Source organism: Homo sapiens, chromosome 10, assembly GCF_000001405.40.
Source record: "Homo sapiens chromosome 10, GRCh38.p14 Primary Assembly".
Taxonomy (NCBI): Eukaryota; Metazoa; Chordata; class Mammalia; order Primates; family Hominidae; genus Homo; species Homo sapiens.
The window spans coordinates 96929227-96950733 of NC_000010.11; the positions used below are offsets into that span (position 1 = coordinate 96929227).

Consider the following 21507-nt stretch of genomic DNA (forward strand, 5'->3'; position numbering starts at 1 on the left):
CCTTGCTGACATCTTCCAGTATGAGGCCTTTTTGTCTACATTGAAAATCTGTTGTTTTGTGTAGCCACCTTCATCAGTGATCTTAGAGTGATCTTCTGTATAACTTGGTGCAGCTTCTGTATCAGCACTTGCCACTTCACCTTGCACTTTTGTTGTTACAGAGATGACTTCTTTTCCTTAAACCTCATAAGCCAACCTCGGCTAGCTTCCAGCTTTTCTTCTGCAGCTTCCTCACCTCTCAGCCTTCATAGAATTGAAGAGAGTTAGAGCCTTGCTCTGGATTAGGCTTTGGCTTAAGAGAATGTTGTGGCTGGTTTGATCTTCTATCCAGACCACTCAGACTTTCTCCATATAAGCAATAAAGCTGTTTTACTTTGTCATTTTTGTGTTCACTGGAGTAGCACATCTAATTTTCCTTAAGAACTTTTTCCTTTACATCCACAAGTTGGCTAACTGACATTAGAGACCTATGTTTTGACCTGTCAGCTTTCAGCATGCCTTCCTCACTAAGCTCAATCATTTAAATCAAAAGCTCAAGCTTTTGATTTAAAGTGAGAGACATGCAACTCTTCCTTTCACTTGAACACTAGAGGTCATTGTAAAGTATATTAACTGGCCTAATTTCTATATTGTGTCTCAGGGAATAGGAGGTCGAAGGAGAGGGAGAAAGACAAGGGAACAGGTGTTCAGTGGATCAGAACACACCTAACATTTATCAATTTAGTTCACCATCTTATACAGGTGCAGTGTGTGGGACCTCAAAATAATTCACTACAGTAACATAAAAAATCACTAATTAGGAATCACCACTGTGAATAGTAACCATTAAAAAGATTGAAATATTGCAAATATTACAAAAATGTGACACCAAGTGGTGTCACCATATGCTCTTGGGAAAATGGCACCACTAGACTTGGTCGACACAGGGTTGCCCCAAACCTTTAATTTGTGAAAGACACGGTATCTGCCAAGTGCAATAAAGTGAGGTGTGCCTGTGTTGTATGCCATTGATCTATATGTCTGTCCTTACACCAGTACCACAGTGTCTTTATTATATCTTTAAATGTAGAAATCTAGTAGTATGAGTCTTCCAGTTTTTTAGTTTTTCAAACTTGTTTTGCTAATCTAGGTCTTTGATCTTTCTTTATAAAGTTTATAAAGATTATAATCACCTTACCAATTCTTGAAAAAACCTTTGAGGATTTTGATTAGGATTGTATTGAAACTTCGATTAATTTGGAAAGAATTGCCACGTCAGTAGTGGTATTTCAGTTTACATAGTTTATCTCACCTGTATTAGTTTTTACTTTCTCTCAGCAGTGTTTTTATACTGTCATTTCCCTTCAACCCGAATAACTTCCTAAAGCATTTCTAGTGGCTTTGAGAGAGAGCTACTTTAAATTGTGGAGAAAAGCGTAGAGTAAACTGCTGTGCTTTGAATGGGTCCTCTCCAAAATTCAGGTGTTGCCAATGTGATAGTATTAAGAGGTGGGGCCTTTTAAGAGGTGATTAGGCCATAAGGACTCCTTCCTCCTTAATGGAATTAAAAAAGGGGCTTGGTGTAGGGTTAGGCTAGCTTACTTGCCCTTCTCTGCCTTCTGCCATGTGAGAGCGCAGCAAGAAGGCCTTCACCAGACACCGAATGCTGTTGCCATGATTGTGGAATTCCAGGTTCCAGACTGTGAGAAAATAAGCTTCTGTTATTTATAAATGACTTACTCTCAGGAATTTTATTATAGCAGCACAAAATGGGCTAGACAAACTCCATATTTGAAAATGTATTTTAGATACTTTATAGCCCTTCCTAGAAAACATAATAAAGGCTCCTATTAGATAATAAAAGTGTATATTTGTAAAGCTTTTACTATTATTACAAATTATGACAAATATTATTTATAATATTATTATTAAAGCTTTTCCTGTTGGAAAATATCTCAGCCCATTTAGTATTGTATTTCCTCCCCTGTTTTGGGTGATGGATGGTGACACCACAAAGCACTGGTATTTTTTTTTTTTTTTTTCTTTGAGATGGAGTCTTGCTCTGTTTCCCAGGCTAGAGTGCAGTGGTGTCATCTTGGTTCACTGCAACTTCCGCCTCCCAGGTTCAAGTGATTCTTCTGCATCAGCTTCCTGAGTAGCTGGGACTACAGGTGCACACTACCATGCCTGGGTAGTTTTTTTGTATTTTTGGTAGAGATGGGGTTTCACCATGTCGGCCAGGCTGGTCTCAAACTCCTGACCTCAAGTGATCCACTGCCTCGGTGTCCCAAAGTGCTGGGATTAACAGCATGAGCCACTGCGCCTGGCAGCATTGGTAGTTTCTATAGCTCTTTTTCTTTCTGCTTCTCCCTACCACCTTCCACAACTCCTTTAAAAGAAATTACTTAAAGGATATTGGGAAGTGGACGCAAAGTAGTGAGTCTACCAGAGAACATAACAACCTGAAGATAGATGGACCTACACTTTCTCCTGAAAGCTGTATACAAAATTAAATTTTATATACAAACATATGTAAATACATTCTTCATTTGTTTCAGCAGCAGCAGTTAGGAAGTAAAAGAAAAATCCTTTTCATAATGACAAGAAAAAAGTAAGATAATAAGTACGTGGGAACTGTGTGAATAAACTTTGAAATCCATTAAAGTCCACTTGGGTAAATTTAAACAGTTCCTAAAAGAGAAGACTGAATGTTTTAAGGATATTACTCTTTCTGAATTACTCTCTAGGTATAATGCTATTGTGATCAAAAACACATTGTATGTCTTTGGGGAGCTTTTGCTGGGGGGATAGCAGAATTCACTAATCTAGGTCTTTGATCTTTCTTTATAAGTGATTTTAAATATAATCTGAAGAATAAAGCTAGAATGGCCAGGATATCTTAAAGATATAAATAATGAGGGGGATTTTCCTTCCTAAATGCTAAGACTTATGTAATTTTAAAAATATGCCACTGACGATAGATTTGAAAAATAAATCAATAAATGAAATTAATGTTTATAGAACTATTATGATGATTTTATAAAAAGTACCCTCAAACATTGCTTGGAAAATTAAGTGTTATTCAGTAGATGGTGCTAGAATTATTATTGGTTAATCATTATATTGCTTCCAGTAAACTCATAGGAAAGGAAAAAACTATATAAGAACAATAAACCATTAAAACATATTGATCCTTACCAGTAATCAGAGAAGTGCAAATTGAAACAAGGAACCTTTTTTATTTTATTTTATTTTATTTTATTTATTTTTATTTTTTGAGACAGAGTCTCGCTCTGTTCCCAGGCTGGAGTGCAGTGGTGCGATCTTGGTTCACTGCAACCTCCGCCTCCCGGGTTCAAGCAATTCTCCTGCCTCAGCCTCCCGAGTAGCTGGGACTACAGGCGCACGCCACCACACCTGGCTAATTTTTGTATTTTTAGTAGAGATGGGGTTTCACCATATTGGCCAGGATGGTCTCGATCTCCTGACCTTGTGATCCACCTGTCTCGGCCTCCCAAAGTGCTGGGATTACAGGCATGAGCCACCATGCCTGGACCAAAGAATCATTGTATACCAATGAAATCTGATGTCTACAAGTGTTGCACCATAGTACCCCGAACACTGCAAGTGGGAATACAAATTGGTATAACTTTTCCTTAGAAAAAAGTTTGTGAATATGTTTCAAGAAAGGAAGAAATTGTTTATTTTGGTTGATGGTTTCTCTTATAGTAATCTATCCCAAGGAAATAATGAGAATGTGGAACAAATTCATTAAAATGCACAGTTATAGTAACAAAATAAAAAACTGGTCTAATTGCAAATTATGGTACATTTATTAAGATAAGTGTTTTTGAAGAATATGTAACAATGTAAGAAAGAAAATCCTAATATTAATTGAGGATAAGTAAAATGATCTTCAGTGTGAGTCTCATTTAATTTTTTTAAGTTAATATGTCTGCGTATGTGTTTTTTAGGGGAATATATCAAATGATTGGCAGTTCATAGCTAAGATTGTTGAGAATACTAGTTGTTTTTACTTTCTCTTTATAGCTTTGTGTACAAGGTAGCTTTTTTCAGGATCTTCCAGAGAATGAGAAGAACAAGCATTATTTATAAAAGCATAAACCTTGTAGGATTTCTGTGCAATATATTTGCTTTAAGAAAAATGAAACTATAGATGATTGTGGCTTATAAATTTTTATTGATAAATGGTGAAACCTTTATTTATATAGAGGAATAAAAGACAAAAGAACACAAGTCCCTGGTTAAGTTAATATAAAGTTAGTAGCTTAAATGGAATTGGTTTCAATTTACAGATGGAAAGACTCTTTTTGAGATGGAGTCTCGCTCTGTTGCCCAGGCTGGAGTGGAGTGGCACGATCTGGGCTCACTCAACCTCCGTCTCCTGGGTCCAAGCAATTCTCCTGCCTCAGCCTCCTGAGTAGCTGGGATTACAGGTGCATGCCACCACGCCTGCCTAATTTTTGTATTTTTAGTAGAGATGGGATTTCACCGTGTTGATCAGGCTGGTTTTGAACTCCTGACCTCGTGATACACCCGCCTCAGTTTCCCAAAGTGCTAGGATTACAGGCATGAGTCACCGTGCCTGGCCGAAAGACTCTTAATAGATTAAAACACAAATAAAAAGATACACTTGGATTTTTCAATATTGATTTCTCTTATGTAGTTCATGAAATAATTCACTTTGAAAATACTTCTGACTCAACAATTTACAGCTGTCTAGTTTCTTGAAGTTCCATAGATTGAAGAGTTTTATAGCATTTGTTTAGCATATTTTTCTGCTAAGTGTTTTGTCAGGAAAAAAGTTGTGATGTTCACCTTAGCAAATTTCACAGCTTTGGCGAGACTTAATTCTAAATACAACAACTCTTATTTAATGTAGGAAAATAATAAAGTTATCTTTAAAGTAATCCAGATTCAGAGGATTCAAATAAGATGGTAATAAGCTTTATAATCTTTAAATGGATTCTCTAGGTAAGATTACATATATTGTTTTTGTGTAACTGAATTTAAGCCAAAAGTCCATTAAGTAAACAGTATAGGACTATGAGAGATGGAGGAAACCCTTTGGGTTAATGGTGGTGTCACTGTAACAAATGCCTTAATTCTTCTACTCTCATCCCTCCCTCATTTTTTCAGTTGTTTATTAAGGAGAGAGTTTTTAAAAAGCTTAAGGACTGCTTTCTACCCTAGAGCTATAGAGTCATAAGCTCTGTGGACTTCTAGGCATATATGCTCCTAAGAAGCTCACAGTAGATTATATAACAGAGCCACTTCTGCCTATGAGCCAGCCAATCTAGGTGGCCCAGTCTCTGCATCCTGAAGGAAGCAACTCCTCCTAGGAGATAGAAATTCCAGTTGAAATCTGCAACTTTATTTTTATTTATTTTTTTAAGACAGAGTGTCACTCTGTCACCCAGGCTAGAATGCAGTGGCGCAGTCTTGGCTCACTGCAACCTCCGCCTCCTGGGTTCAGGAGATTCTCGTGCCTCAGCCTCCTGAGTAGCTGGGATTACAGGCATGCGCCACCATACCTGGATAATTTTTGTATTTTCAGTAGAGACAGGGTTTTGCCATGTTGGCCAGACTGGTGTCAAACTCCTGCCATCAAATGAGCTGCTCGCCTCGGCCTCCAAAAGGGCTGGGTTTACAGGCGTGAGCCACCGCACCTGGTCTGAATCTCCAACTTTACTCCTATTTAGTTTTATGCCAACAACTTGTTCTTTAATAATAAATATTCCTAAATTTATTAGGAATAATAAATGCAAAGAAAATGGTTTTTGAGTTACAGAAGATTTTGCATCTTTTTGTTATTTGCCATACTATACAATAATGTATTATTTTAGAATTCAGCTGAGGGGAGATGACATGAATTGGTTTCTTTAACTTTTCCTTATCTCCTGGCTATTTTACTTTTTTTTTTTTTTTTTTTTTTTTTTTGAGACAGAGTGTCACTCTGTCACCCAGTCTGGAATGCAGTGGTATGATCTTGGCGCACTGCAACCTCCACCTCCCGGGTTCAAGCATTTCTCCTGCCTCAGCCTCTTGAGTAGCTAGAATTACAGGTACGTGCCACCACCCCTGGCTAATGTTTATATTTTTAGCGGAGATGGGGTTTCACCATGTTAGCCAGGCTGATCTCAAATTCCTGACCTCAGGTGATCAGCCTGCCTTGGCCTCCCAAAGTACTGGAATTATAGGCTTAAGCCACTGCGCCTGGTCATCTCCTGGCTATTTTATTAGCTCTGTTAGTTGTATGTCATACAAACTTTTTTATTCTTACTGGTTCATTTTATTGGAAGGGTTGACTTTACAAACAGAATTCCAGCAGGGTGTGGTGGCTCTCGCCTGTAATCCAGCACTTTGGGAGGCCAAGGCAGGAGGATTGCTTGAGGCCAGTAGTTCTGCAACAACCTGGGCATAGAGTGAGACTCCTTCTCTACAAAATATTTTAAAAATTAGCCTGGTGTGGTGGCACACACCCGTAATCTCAGCCACTTGGGAGGCTGAGGCAGGAGGATGGCCTTAGCCCAGGAAGGCAAGGCTTGCAGTGAGCTGTGATTGTGCCACTGCACTCAAGCCTGGGCAACAGAGCAAGATCCTGTCTTTAAACAAACAAACAACAACGACAAAAACAGAGAACTCCAGAACTCTCTGGCTTAGAAAATCTCACACCTAAAGGTGTTGAAAATGATGAAGATCTGTGTGAATAGTTAAGAGACACCTGGAAGGTCCATCATATTCGTAGCAACAGGTGAAATGACAGACCTATTAAATGTTTGTTTATTTGATTCATGAATCGGGCAGCCTCCCGAGCCACAGTAGGCTCTGAGATTCCCCTGTTAGACGTTTAACAGATAATCAGAATAAGAGACAGCTAAGAGCCCTCCTGGGGTTGGAGCAAACCTCAAACACTGGCAACAACATGCCCCTGCAAAGGGGCCCACCAGCTTTTATTGGATCAGGCAAAGGAAATTAGAAACTAGTTTCAGATGAATTTTTAAAACTTACCAAAACGAATGAGATGTACTTAGCAGTACTTAGAGGATGTGTGTTTAAAAAGCATATCTCAAATCAATACCCTAATCATCCACATTAGGAAACTAGAAAAAGAAGAGCAAACTAAACCCAAAGCAGGCAGAAAGAGAGAAATAATAAAGATGCGAGAGCAGAAAGAAATGAAGTAATGTAAAAAATGATAGAGAAAATCAACAAAACCAAAAACTGGTTTTTTTAAAATATCAAATTAGGTAAACTTTAGCACTGATCAAGAAAAATAGAAGACTCAAGTTACTAATCACAAATGAAATATAGGAAGTCAGAAGTAAAAAGAATTGGGGAATACAGTGAACACAATGTGTATGCCAGCAGTTTAGAGAATTTGATGAAATAGGCAAATTCCTAGAAAGTTACAAACTTACCAATACTGATGTAAGGCGAAACAGAAAATCTGAATAAATCTATGATGCAGATTGAATTGTGTCCCCCTAAAACATGAATCCACCCCTGGTACCTGTGAATGTGACCTTATTTGGAAATACAGTAGTCTTCCCCCTTATAAGGGGGATGCCTGAAACTACAGATCGTACCAAACTCTATATATACTATGTTTTTTTCCTGTACACACATACCTATGATAAAGCTTAATTTGTAAATTAGTCACAATAAGAGATTAAAACTAATAATAAAATTGAACAATTATAACAATATACTATAACAAAAGTTATGTGAATATTCTCTCTCTTTTCTCAAAATATTTTATTGTACTATACCATGGGTAACTGTGGAAAGCAAAACTGCAGATAAGAGGGGACCACTGTAAGGTCTTTGCAGGTGTAATCAATTTATGATGAAGTCATGTTGGATTAGAGTGGACCCTAAATCCAATGACTGGTTGCCTTATAAGGAGAAAGAGACTTGGAGACACAGACACACACACAGGGAAGAGGACCATGTAAAGATGGAGACAGAGATTGGAGTTACACTGCCACAAGGCAAGGAATGCCAAGGATTGTCAGCAACCACCAGAAACTAGGAAGAGGCAAGGAAGGACTCTTCTCTAGACCTTTCAGAGGGAAAATGACCCTATTGACACCCTAATTTTGGGTGCCTGGACTCCAGAGCTGTGAGAGAATAAATCTCTGCTGTTTTAAGCCACCCAGTTTGTGATAAAATATAACACCCCTAGGGAACTAATACTTAGAACAAGTATTGAGATTAAATTAGTAATTTATAAACTCCCATCAAAGAAAAGCCCATGGCCAGGTATCTTCACTGGTATATATATTTTTTCTTTCTTTTTTTAAATAGAGATGGGGTCTCATGATATTGCCCAGGCTGGTCTTGAACTCCTGGGCTCAAGCAATCTGCCCGCCTCGGCCTCCCAAAGTGCTGGGATTAGAGGTGTGAGCCACCACACTCTGCCTTCACTGGCATATTCTGTCAGACATTTAAAGACAAATTAATACCATTTCTTCACAAACTTTTTCAAAGTATAGGAGAAGAGAGAAGACGTCCTTATTCTGGGAGGCCAGTATTATTTATACGAAAACCAAAGATATCACAAGAAAACTACAGACAAATACCATTTATGAGTACCAGCACAAAAAAATCCTCAACAAAACATTAGCAAATCAAAATTTGCAACATATAAAAAGTGTTATACACCACAACCAAGTGGAATTTATCCCAGGAGTGCAAAGTTGGTTTAACTATTTATTTATTTATTTATTATTTGAGGGTCTCGCCCTGGTCTTGCCCTGTCGTCCAGGCTGGAGCACAGTGGCACAATCATGGCTCACTGCAGCCTTGACCTCCCAGGCTCAGGAAATACTCCTGCCTCAGCCCCCAAGTAGGTGCGACCACAGATGTGCACCACCATGCCCAGCTGTTAATAATTTTTTAACTGATTTGTAGAGACGGGGGTCTCCCTATGTTGCCCAGGCTGGTCTCGAACTCCTGGGCTCAAGCGATCCTCCCCAGAGAGCTGGAATTACAGGCATGAGCCGCTGTACCTGGCTGGTTTTTAACACTCTTAATTACTGTAATACAATGTGTTAATAGAGTAAGTGACACAGACCACATGATCATCTCCGTAGACACCCTCCAAAATGGCATTTGGCCAAATCCAACACGTTTTCTTGATGTAAAAACAAACACAACAAACTAGCAATAGAAGAGAACTTTCTAAATCTGAACTACAAAAACACTCAGCTAAAAGATGGAACAGCTTCCCCCGAGATCAGAAACAAGGCAGGATGTCCACTCTCACCATGTACATCCACCGTTGTACATGAGGTTCTAGCCAGGGAAATTAGACAATAAAAAGAAACCAAAGTCATTCAAATTGCAAAAGAAGAGGTAAAACTGTCTTGGTTTTACAGATGACATGATGATGTATATAGAAAATCCCAAGAAATTTACAAAACACTATTAGAGTTTAACAAGTTCAGCAAGGTTCAGAATACCCGTCATTAAAAAAAAATAATAATTGTATTGCTATACACTAGCAGTGAACAATATGAACATGAAAGTTTGAAAACAGTTCTGTTTACAGTAGCATCAAAAATAATACAACACTTAGGAATAAATATAAAAGAAATATAAGACTTGTATGTTGTAAATTACAAAATGTTACTGAAAGAAATTACATGGAAAGACATGTTCATGGATCAGAAGACTTAAAATTGTTACTATGGTATTACTTCCCAAATTGATACGCTGATTCAGTGCATTTTCTACCAAAATCCCAACTGACTTATTTGCAGAGATTCACAAGCTGGTCCTAAAATTCATATGAAAATTTAAGAGACTTCAAATAGTCTAAACAGTCTTGTAAAAGAAGAACAAATTGGGAGGATTTACACTTTACCAATTTCAAAACTTACTACAAAACAACGTTGGTCAGCTTAATGTGATGCTGGCTTGAGGATAGATATATAAATAGTGGAATAGAATCGAGTGTCCAGAAGTAAAATGTATGGCCAGTGACTTTTGGCAAGAGTTCCAAAACAGTTCGTTGGGGGAAAGAATTGTTTTTTCACCAAAAGATGCTGGAACCAACTGAGTATCCACATGGAAGAGAATGAGGTTGGACCCCTTCCTTACGCCATACACAAAATTAACTTGACATGTATTATAGACCTAAAAGTACGCCCTAAAAGTATAAAATTCTTAGAAGAAAGCATAGGGTTAAATCTTCATGACCAAGTTTTTTAGGTATAACATCAAAAGCACAAGTGACCAAAAATATATAGATTGGAATTCATTAAAATTAAAGCTTTCATGCTGCTAACAGTACCATCAATACTATCAAATAATAAGAAAACTCAAAGAATGGGAGAAAATATTTGCAAATCATATATCTAATAATGGACTTGTTTCAGAATATATCAAGAATTCTTACAATGCAACAATAAAATGGTAAACGACTCAATAAAAAATGAGCAAGGATCTAGGCCGGGCGCGGGGCCCACGCCTGTAATCCCAGCACTTTGGGAGGCCGAGGCGGGCGGATCACAAGGTCAGGAGATCGAGACCATCCTGGCCAACACGGTGAAATCCCGTCTCTACTAAAAATACAAAAAATCAGCCGGGCCTGATGGCACGCGCCTGTAGTCTCAGCTACTCTGGAGGCTGAGGCAAGAGAATCATTTGAATCCAGGAGGCGGAGGTTGCAGTGAGCCAAGACCATGCCACTGCGCTCCAGCCTAGGCAACAGAGTGAGACTCCGTCTCAAAAATAAAAGATCAAGGATCTGAATGGACATTTTTCCAAAGAAGGTATAATGTGCCAATAAGCACGTGAAAAGATGCTCAACATCATTAGTCAATTAGAAAAATACAAACCTTAAACCATGAGATAATACCACTTCTTATCTACTAAAATGGGTATAATAAAAAAGATAACAAGTGTTCATGAGTATGTGGAGAAGTCAGAACCCTTATACATTGTTTTTGGGAATATAAATGGTGTAGCTGCTTTGGAAAATGGTTCAGCTTTCCTCAAAATAGTTAACGTGATACGGAAATTTATAAAAGAATGTTGGCAAATACAACTATAATAAAGGTGGTCATGATTTTTTTTTTTTTTTTTTTTTTTTTTTTTTTATTGATCATTCTTGGGTGTTTCTCGCAGAGGGGGATTTGGCAGGGTCATAGGACAACAGTGGAGGGAAGGTCAGCAGATAAACAAGTGAACAAAGGTCTCTGGTTTTCCTAGGCAGAGGACCCTGCGGCCTTCCGCAGTGTTTGTGTCCCTGGGTACTTGAGATTAGGGAGTGGTGATGACTCTTAACGAGCATGCTGCCTTCAAGCATCTGTTTAACAAAGCACATCTTGCACCGCCCTTAATCCATTTAACCCTGAGTGGACACAGCACATGTTTCAGAGAGCACAGGGTTGGGGATAAGGTCACAGATCAACAGGATCCCAAGGCAGAAGAATTTTTCTTAGTACAGAACAAAATGAAAAGTCTCCCATGTCTACTTCTATCCACACAGACCCGGCAACCATCCGATTTCTCAATTTTTTCCCCACCCTTCCCGCCTTTCTATTCCACAAAACTGCCATTGTCATCATGGCCCATCCCCAATGAGCCGCTAGGCACACCTCCCAGACGGGGTCGTGGCCGGGCAGAGGGGCTCCTCACTTCCCAGTAGGGGCGGCCGGGCAGAAGTGCCCCCCACCTCCCGGATGGGGCGGCTGGCCGGGCAGAGGGGTCCTCACTTCCCAGTAGGGGCGGCCGGGCAGAGGCGCCCCTCACCTCCCGGATGGGGCGGCCGGCCGGGCGGGGGGCTGACCCCCCCACCTCCCTCCCGGACAGGGCGGCTGGCCGACCCCCCCCCCGCCTCCCTCCCGGACGGGGCGGCTGGCCGGGCAGAGGGGCTCCTCACTTCCCAGTAGGGGCGGCCGGGCAGAGGCGCCCCTCACCTCCCGGACAGGGCGGCTGGCCAGGCGGGGGGCTGACCCCCCCACCTCCCTCCCGGACGGGGCGGCTGGCCGGGCGGGGGGCTGACCCCCCCACCTCCCTCCCGGACGGGGCGGCTGGCCAGGCGGGGGGCTGATCCCCCCACCTCCCTCCCGGACGGGGCGGCTGGCCGGGCAGAGGAGTCCTCACTTCCCAGTAGGGGCGGCCGGGCAGAGGCGCCCCTCACCTCCCGGACTGGGCGGCTGGCCGGGCAGGGGGCTGACCCCCCACCTCCCTCCTGGACGGGGCGACTGGCCGGGCAGAGGGGCTCCTCACTTCCCAGTAGGGGCGGCCGGGCAGAGGAGCCCCTCACCTCCCGGACGGGGCGGCTGGCCGGGCGGGGGGCTGACCCCCCCCACCTCCCTCCCGGACGGGGTGGCTGCCGGGCGGAGACGCTCCTCACTTTCCAGACGGGGTGGCTGCCAGGCGGAGGGGCTCCTCACTTCCCAGACGGGGTGGCTGCCGGACGGAGGGGCTCCTCACTTCTCAGACGGGGCGGTTGCTAGGCAGAGGGTTTCCTCACTTCTCAGACGGGGCGGCCGGGCAGAGACGCTCCTCACCTCCCAGACAGGGTTGCGGCCCAGCAGAGGCGCTCCTCACATCCCAGACAGGGCGGCGGGGCAGAGGTGCTCCCCACATCTCAGACGATGGGCGGCCGGGCAGAGACGCTCCTCACTTCCTAGATGGGATGGCGGCGGGGAAGAGGCGCTCCTCGCTTCCTAGATGGGATGGCGGCCGGGCAGAGACGCTCCTCACTTTCCAGACTGGGCAGCCAGGCAGAGAGGCTCCTCATATCCCAGACGATGGGGGGGCAGGCAGAGACGCTCCTCACTTCCCAGACGGGGTGGCGGCTGGGCAGAGGCTGCAATCTCGGCACTTTGGGGGGCCAAGGCAGGCGGCTGGGAGGTGGAGGTTGTAGCGAGCCGAGATCACGCCATTGCACTCCAGCCTGGGCACCATTGAGCACTGAGTGAACGAGACTCCGTCTGCAATCCCGGCACCTCGGGAGGCCGAGGCTGGCGGATCACTCGCGGTTAGGAGCTGGAGACCAGCCCGGCCAACACAGCAAAACCCCGTCTCCACCAAAAAAAAAACGAAAACCAGTCAGGCGTGGCGGCGCGCGCCTGCAATCGCAGGCACTCGGCAGGCTGAGGCAGGAGAATCAGGCAGGGAGGTTGCAGTGAGCTGAGATGGCAGCAGTACCGTCCAGCTTTGGCTCGGCATCAGAGGGAGACCGTGGAAGGAGACCGTGGAGAGAGGGAGAGGAGGGAGAGGGAGAGGGAGCGGTCATGATTTATAAGACTTAAAATATTTCAGTTAAATTTTTTAATACATTATATAGCAAACTTACTGTGCCTTATATAGCAGTGTTTAAGGATCATTATTTTAATTTGAATATGCCAGTGAGTTCTTCATATTAAGCTTTTTACAATATATAATCCATGCTAAATACATATTTTGGTTGTGCTTTTAACATAAATCTTAGGATGGGAAATCATAGAAAGCTGGTTGCAAATATCAGTGGGTATTTTTTTAAATTTTTGAGGGAATCATTTGTGCATTATAACATGTCTTCAATGTGTTGTTTAATTCCTTTTCATTGTGCCAAGATATGTCCCATTTTCTTACTTAGAACACTTATATATGGAAATAAAGACATTAATTCATACATTAAAGTGATTTCAAATAAATTATATGCACTAGAACTTAACACTTAAATATGCATTTAGCTTCTTAAAAATACTTTTATTTTCTGTTATTGTAAGATACAAGAGTGGAGGTAGGTGCAAGGTATTGCCAACTTGGTCCAGTGCTCCTGCAGTCTGGGATTAGAGGCTGGGAATCTCGGGGATGATTATAGTGCAGCATATTGGAACTTTTTGGTCAGAGAAACTTTCTGACCTACTTTTTTTTGTTTGTTTTTGAGACAAAGTCTTGCTGTGTCACCCAAGCTGGAGTGCAGTGGCATAATCTCAAGTGCAACCTCCACCTCCTGGGTTCAAGCGATTCTCATGCCTCAGCCTCCTGAGTAGCTGGGATTGCAGGCACGTGCCACCACGCCCAGCTAATTTTTGTATTTTTAGTAGAAACTGGGTTTCACCATTGTTGGCCAGGCTGGTCTCGAACTCCTCACCTCAAGTGATCCGCCCGCCTCGGCCTCCCTAAGTGCTGGGATTACAGGCATGAGCCACCTCGCCTGGTCAGATTCACTGTTTATATTTCAAAGCTGTTCAAACATAGATGTATTGTAACAAAAGATAATGCAATGCTTATGCTTAGAACATGCAGTGCATTCTATTTTTCAGTTCATTTTGCTAATGCTACTTTTGACCACTTAATCAATTTACAACCCATTAAAGGTTTGAGAACCACAGTTTTAAAAATAGTAATCTAGAGACAGAATTGTGAATTCAGATGTATTCTGAGTTTTTCTTCCTAATGGCCTTTTAAAAGTGTTTGTGTTTTGTGTCTGGTGAAAAACAGATCTCATACTTGGAAAGCAAACATGATCCTCAAATGAGATTTGGAATTCAAAAAAAATTTTTTTTTTGGTAAATTAAAAAAAAAAAAGCCTTCTGTCTGAATTGAGTTGCCTGTGAAAAATAACTATAGTATAATAGAACCAATATATTTGAGTGCTTTCAAGGAAATTATCCCTCTGGCAGTTAAAGTTTAGTTAGAGTAAATTTTGAACAAAACTCATAGTCAAAAAAAGAAGTAGATAAAATCCAGCTGAAGAATATGTTTACATTTATTTTGCTTGTATACTTTTTCATAAAATTTATACTGAAGTTTTAAAATATTTTAATTGCATCAAATTAATTTGCCTTATTTGCTACTAACTTTGATTTCGTCTATGCTTTTGTTATTGAATGGGGAAAGACGTGTGTGCAACTATTTCACCAAGTATTTTTGCAGGGACACTTAGTCGGTCTGGATGAACCAGCTTCGGGAGCTGGGCAAGAAGCTCTGCTTAAACAAGAGCAAGCAAAAATCATTCGATTCGAGAGACAAGCAGAAGAATTCCTCAATGCAGTCTTTTATAGAAAAGGTTGGTTTCAGTGAAGATGATATTTAGCATCTGCTTGTCTTGTATTATTGATCTCCTTAATTTCATTGTCATTTTTAAAGTTACTCTTAAAAACATTTTTCTTTATTGATATAATTTATATTGTTCTATATACCTTGGGTCAAGTTCAAATTGGAATTAGGATTAAGGAAACCCTGTTCCCCACATTTAGGCTCTGATGTGATGGTGAGTTTTAATTAAATAGTTTAGAAAATTATTAGGAAATTCTGAAAATTTTAAGCTCTCAGTAGTACTACATTTTGTTAGACAACTTTTCTTATGGAGACAGTTACTGTTTTAATCACCGATAACTAAATCCAACTGTGTGATTTTTTTTTTTTTTTTAGTAATTTCAACGTGAAATTTCATTTGGAGAGAAAATGTAGTTATAAAATTAGATTTGTAAGCATTTTTTTCTGATATAGTCTTGTTTCACTAAAATTTTTTATATTAATTAAAATTAGGGAAATAATTATTATGTAGTAAAACTTTTCCCCCTGCATTTGAGGTGGCATTTAATAGCTCAACCTCTTGCATTTTTAAAATTTATCTTTTTCCTTGAAACTTTTGTAGGCTTGTTTTACATTTCTTTCAAAATACAGAAAAGTTCTTCAGTCATGGAGTCTTGAGGCTTATCAATCCTTCATAGAGGCATTCAGGTTTATTCTTTATTCACAAAGCATAATTACCATCAGCCAGAACCTTCAGGAAAGTTCCCTTCATGTTCCTTTCTAGTGAGGAGTCTTTACTTTTAAGAAATTCTAAATGGATTTATACTTCTTAGTTACACTTTTCCTCCATTTCCAAGATGGTGGTTACTGTGATGGGTTCTAAAAAAGTTTCATACAAACTCTTGATAATCTTAAATATTCTTACTTAATCTTCAGCAGACTCAGTGATTCCATTTTCTTTAATAATTCTTCATATGTTCTAGTTTACACCTCTCATTCCTCTGGAAATTCCCTCCTTCCCTTTGACATTGGTTAAAAGTCTGATAAGTGCTGGTTCTGTTGGGTTTCTTTACAGTTGGACACTAGCTGGGCTTCTGCTTAATGTGATCAGTATTTCCAAAAGGCGGTGTGAAGTGTAGTGTCATATAAAATTAAGAAATGCAGAGATTATTTTCTGTGGCACTTTTTTTCCCATTTTCTTCCATTAGATCCCTAGGCAGAATTAAATTGTTTAGTACATCCTTAATTCTCTGTAAACACCCACTAGCACCTCCTGACCTAAATCTCCCAGCTGAGTCTCCTATGTCTTATTATCCCTGCACATTGCTCAGAATTCTAAAATTATGTTCAAAATAATCATTTTCTTAGTTTTATGAACATCTGATTGTTAAAAGCAAATTTAAGTATAAACAACTTATAGAGCAGTTCTATCAGTTTGCTTACCAAATAAAATATCTTTACAGCTCCTCTCCTGAAGGATGTACACAGAGTCATTGATCTGTTGTGTTGTTATAGCAAGCTTCATTATCTGAAAAGAGGACTTCCTCTCCCTAATTTACATGGAGGAACCACTTTTCATCCACTCTTTGCTTAGGGGACATTAATAAAGTCAATCATAAGACTCCTACAGAAAAATTCTGTCGTACTTTTCTGCTAGTCCTAAGCCCTTTGTCATAGAGGAATAACTTTCAAGTTTTTATAAAGTTTTTCTTTTTTTTTTTTTAAGAAATTAAACTTTTGGGTTATAACCTTTAGGGGAGGAATTCTTACCTTGGAATTGGTCTTAGGATAGATTTCAAGAGATGGGAATGCTCTGAAATTGTAAGTTGAGTTTATTTGTTTATGTACAGGCATGTGATGCTCAGAGAAAGAACTGTTCCTTTGGAATTTGGACATTTTCTTCCCCTTTATGTATTAATATTGCTATGTTTAGATATAATCCTCTTGTAACCATCTCCAAGATAGCCATTAGTACTCTTTAAATTAATACCAAAAATGTTTAGTATCCAGGGATATGATGGACATTTTAGTCTGAAGAGAATCTTTTGTTTTAATAATTCAGATGCTTAGATTTGGTCCCTTGTTTCAAAGTATTGTAAATTATATGTTTTAAATAATTTGTGTAAGGATTATGTATAGTTAAGTAGAATCAGAGATGGAATAAAAGTAAGCTTTTAGGATATGGAATCCATAATTTCACTTCAAGAACAATATACCTTCTACAAATGTCATAATGACATTTCTTTTTAGCTTGCGTTGTCACTTGTATTAAAAAAGTTAGATTTGCATTTTAAGATACACAGGTGGCTGTGATGTAACATGTTTTTCTGCAGTTTTATTTTTCATCTGATTTGTTGCTTTTATTTGACTCAGTTGTGCTGTGTTCCCCTGGGTGTGGATATGTTTGTAGATGTGTATTTTAAGTATGTCAAAGAATGAAATCTGTTCAATAAACTTCCACAAGATAGAGAAATTCAAATGGCAGAGATGTAATTCATAAACACTGTCTTGTCTCATGACTGTGTTTTCATTCAATAAAGAGACAAGATACTGCAGACATTGAGTGCTCAAAGATAGTGGTCTGTGGTCCTTGTTCTAATATCTTTGACTCTTCACAGAGCTCTTTATGTTTATTAATACTACTTAAACACAGAGGCATCGCATAAATTCATAAATTTTATTTTACTTTTTATATGGAAATTTCCTTTATGTATTACATATTCTCCCAACTATATTCAGGGGTGGAAAGGTAAACTAATGTACTAAAACTTGAAATTTATACAATAGTTCATATGGAGATTTATGTAGGGAGAAAAGTGGGTCTTAACTGGAACGTTAAATGACTGTTTGGAAAATTCAATGGATGGAGATATTTAAAAAGCAGTGTATGGATAAAATGTTAATTAAAACAACTGAGGAACCATTTTCAGTAACTGTAGCAACTTCTGAACCTTACCTAGTTCCATACCTTTATTTTTAAACCACCGGGAATACTTATAGTCTCTATTTATAGAGAGGAAAGTTAGAGTTATAAATACTCCTTAGTGTGACAGAAGCGTTATTACTAGTAGAGTAAGCCTCATTAAACTCCAGAAGATGAAATAAATAGCACAACTTTGTGACCATCTTCTGGTATTGAATATCGTCCTTTCGGGGGAAAAAATTGCCTGTTCTTAGGAGTCCTGTGAGGTTTTGATGATGTATTTGTTTGTTGTTTATTATGGAGATTTTAGATTTTAGTAATTAGAGTCAGTTTTTCTTTAACTTTATAAATTAAACTCTTAAGTTCCTTACAGCCCCAAAATACTGTGGGTAAAGTTATTTGCCTTCTATAGCTAATCTTTAAAAGACTAAAGAAACCTTGGTTTTCTGAGAACTGTCTTGTAAAACCTCAAAAGTGTGGTGGGAAGCAAAGGTCACAGGTAAAACAGTAAGATCAGGGGAAGAGTTTTAATTGAGAGTCTTATCACTAATCACCTATATAAATTTGTAGTGGCCACTTACTCTTTTGATCACATTTCCCTTTTTTTTTTTAAAGGACTATTTCATGTTGATTGACCTATTTAGTATTTAACTAAATTGAATACACACTTTAGACCAGGCAAGATTAGGTATATAGAGGTACACAGAGGTAAACAAACACATTTCCCTCATTTTATTTTTTTAAAAGGACTATTTCATGGTGATTGATTTGATTGACCTATTTAGTATTCAGCTAAATCGAATACACTTTAAATCAGGCAAGATTAGGTATTTAGAGGTACACAGAGGTAAACAAACACAGTCTCAGCTCTTGAGAAGCTTAGTCTTCCTGATTGACTATTATAGTGTGGTAATTATAGAGGCATGATGATAATATATTTATACAAGTCATTTTCCCTTTCATCTTAACCTCTTTTGCCTTTCAAAGTCTCTTCCAGTGCTAAAAGTTCTTCGAGTTAATGAGTTCTTATGGTTTAAACTTAACATTGACTAGAAATTGATAATTTAGATGTTTATTTCATTATTTTATTTTTTTTTACTAGTTGGCAGAGTTTATTTAAAGTACTCCTGGAAAATATGTGATTTTTCTTAGGCTTTTGAGATTTGACATTTAAACACCTAGCCCAGAGGTTCTACAGTTGTGGTCCCCAGACCAGCAGCATCTAAGAACTTGTTAGAATGCCAGTTCTTGAGCCCACCCTAGAACTACTGAATCAGAAACTCTGGGGAGAGAACCCAACAAGCTGTTTTTGCAAAGCTGTCAGGGTGATTCTGATGAACATTAAAGTGTGAGAATGATTGCCCTAGCCTAAAATGGATCTTAAAATTAAGTATCTCCTTTTATAATCTTGGTATGCCTTCTGTCTTTAATATAAAGTAAATTAAGCACTCATGAACTCAGTAATGCATTCTTCAAATATTTAGGAGAAGGTGGCTGAGGAAAAAGTCTAGGGTTACTTGATGTGACCTATAGGTGTGTTAACATGAGAGTATTTCCTAAGTGAAGGGTTTTGGGATTTCTGTATCAGGTAAGTGATTCTTGCCCATAAGATATTCTAGTTGTTATCCCTTTATTTAATTTCATAATATTCAATTATTATATGGGGGAAGATGTTTAGAATTATTTTAATAAAAATTTTATTTTTAAAAATAGACAACTCAAAAGCTTAGAAAACATAAGTCAAAGGGGAGATACTATTTTTAAGATAACTGCATTTTAAGAAAAATAAAATGAAATTTTATGTTTACTTGAAAGCTGTCTTTTTTAGTACATTGTCCCACTTTAAAAGTAAATAAATCTTTATTTACAGACAGTCCCTGGGTCTCCGACCCCAATATTCCCCTAGTGGCCCGTGAGATCATGCAGCGAATGATCCAACAATTTGCTGCTGAATATACCTCAAAAAATAGCTCTACTCAGGACCCCAGCCAGCCCAATAGCACAAAGAACCAAAGCCTGCCGAAAGCATCTCCAGTCACCACCTCTCCCACGGCTGCAACTACTCAGAACCCTGTGCTCAGCAAACTTCTCATGGCTGACCAAGACTCACCTCTGGACCTTACTGTCAGAAAGTCTCAGTCAGAACCTAGCGAACAAGGTATGGTTTGATGTCAAGGTCTCCTCTATCTTATCAGAATACTTTACTTTGGGGAGAAAAAAAAAAGCATTGGCAAGTAGAGCATCAGCAGCAATAATAGCATAAAAACTAATGTGATTCTTAAATTATTTCTTACTATGCAGTGATGGAGAAGTACAGCTAAAGTTGTTACAGCCTTATCTGTCAGCAGTTCATAGTCATGATTGATGTACCACTCAGGAAAGTCAGGTGGTTAACAGTTGTCACTAATCTTTCAGTTACTTGATATTTATATAAGCATTTTATATTTTCCATAGTATTTTTATGTTTTTTAAAACTCCTATGAAAAAGTAAGTTTTCTTATTAACTAAAAATTTTCTAGGACTAGCACCTGTCTGAGAAATATGCCTCTACTTGCAGGTATAAGTTATATACTCTGCAAATGAGATCATAAGGAAAAACATGTATTCGAATTTTGAGAAAGAAACTGCTAGGGTTACAAATAGAGAAAGCAGCAGAACATACTTTAGGTTGTTAAATATATTCAATGTTTTATAAATACAGAAACACATATATAAACACACACATCCACTGACTAACTTGAAAGTATTTCCAAAAGGGAATTTGTTGATGAGGACACTAATTAAGTGATGAAGTTAAGAGGTTATTAGTTTTGTTTAGCAAATGTTTCTTGAGTCTCTGAAGTTTATTTTCTTCAGTAGATATTCCTGTTGCTTTGTGATCTCATTTTACCTTTAATTTCACAAAAATTGAAGCAAGCATTTCAACTCAGCCACTGTTTGAACCACTACGAATTGTAAATTGGTGATGTCTGTACTAATGAGATTTTATTGTCATAGAAATCTTGAGTATACAGAAAGGTTACGAGATTTATTGTAACCTTTATTTATTGGATTTATTGGTGAGAAATACATGTTTATTTTGGAAAATAAATTTAATTCTTAACCTCTTTGAAATGAACTTTCTTTTGAGTAGTTTTCCTTTGCTTTTATCCTTTTCCTGTGTGGTGAACAGCAAACAAAACATCTGAGTTCTGAGAGATTTCTTGACAGGAGACCTCCTACTTGTTCACATTGCTCATGTTCCTTTGGTTACCATATTTACAAAGTTGTATCTTTTATTGATGACTGTTTTCTTTTCCACAAATTGGTAGTTTTCATTAAAGATCTCCTCACTCTAAATATTGCATCAGAAGTTTCAGGTTTATATTAGGAGAATGACAACATAGAATAATATTTAAAGTATTAATGGAGGTTAACATAAAATGATACCACTTAATCTAATTTAACTTGTTATAACTAATGTTACACTTAAGAGATCAATACATTGTATTGACAGCATGCTCTTAAAAAGAGGAATTTGAACTACATGATAGCATTATAGTGTGTAGACTTCAAATGAAGTAAAAAAATTTTAAATTATATTTCCTTAATGAATG

At 38.9% G+C, this 21507-nt stretch overlaps 1 protein-coding gene across 4 annotated transcripts in view; it reads left to right on the forward strand.

Annotated features, from left to right (window-relative positions):
* The window catches only part of LCOR (ligand dependent nuclear receptor corepressor), a 163659-nt gene that overhangs the window by 96929 nt on the left and 45223 nt on the right, over window positions 1-21507 (forward strand). For all 4 annotated transcript variants that reach the window (NM_001346516.2, NM_001170765.2, NM_001170766.2 and 1 more), the window contains exons 5-6: window positions 14887-15019; window positions 19782-20069. In NM_001346516.2, the coding sequence (NP_001333445.1) occupies window positions 19832-20069 (238 nt within the window). In that variant the 5' untranslated portion in view covers window positions 14887-15019; window positions 19782-19831. The remainder of the gene's footprint in view (window positions 1-14886; window positions 15020-19781; window positions 20070-21507) is intronic.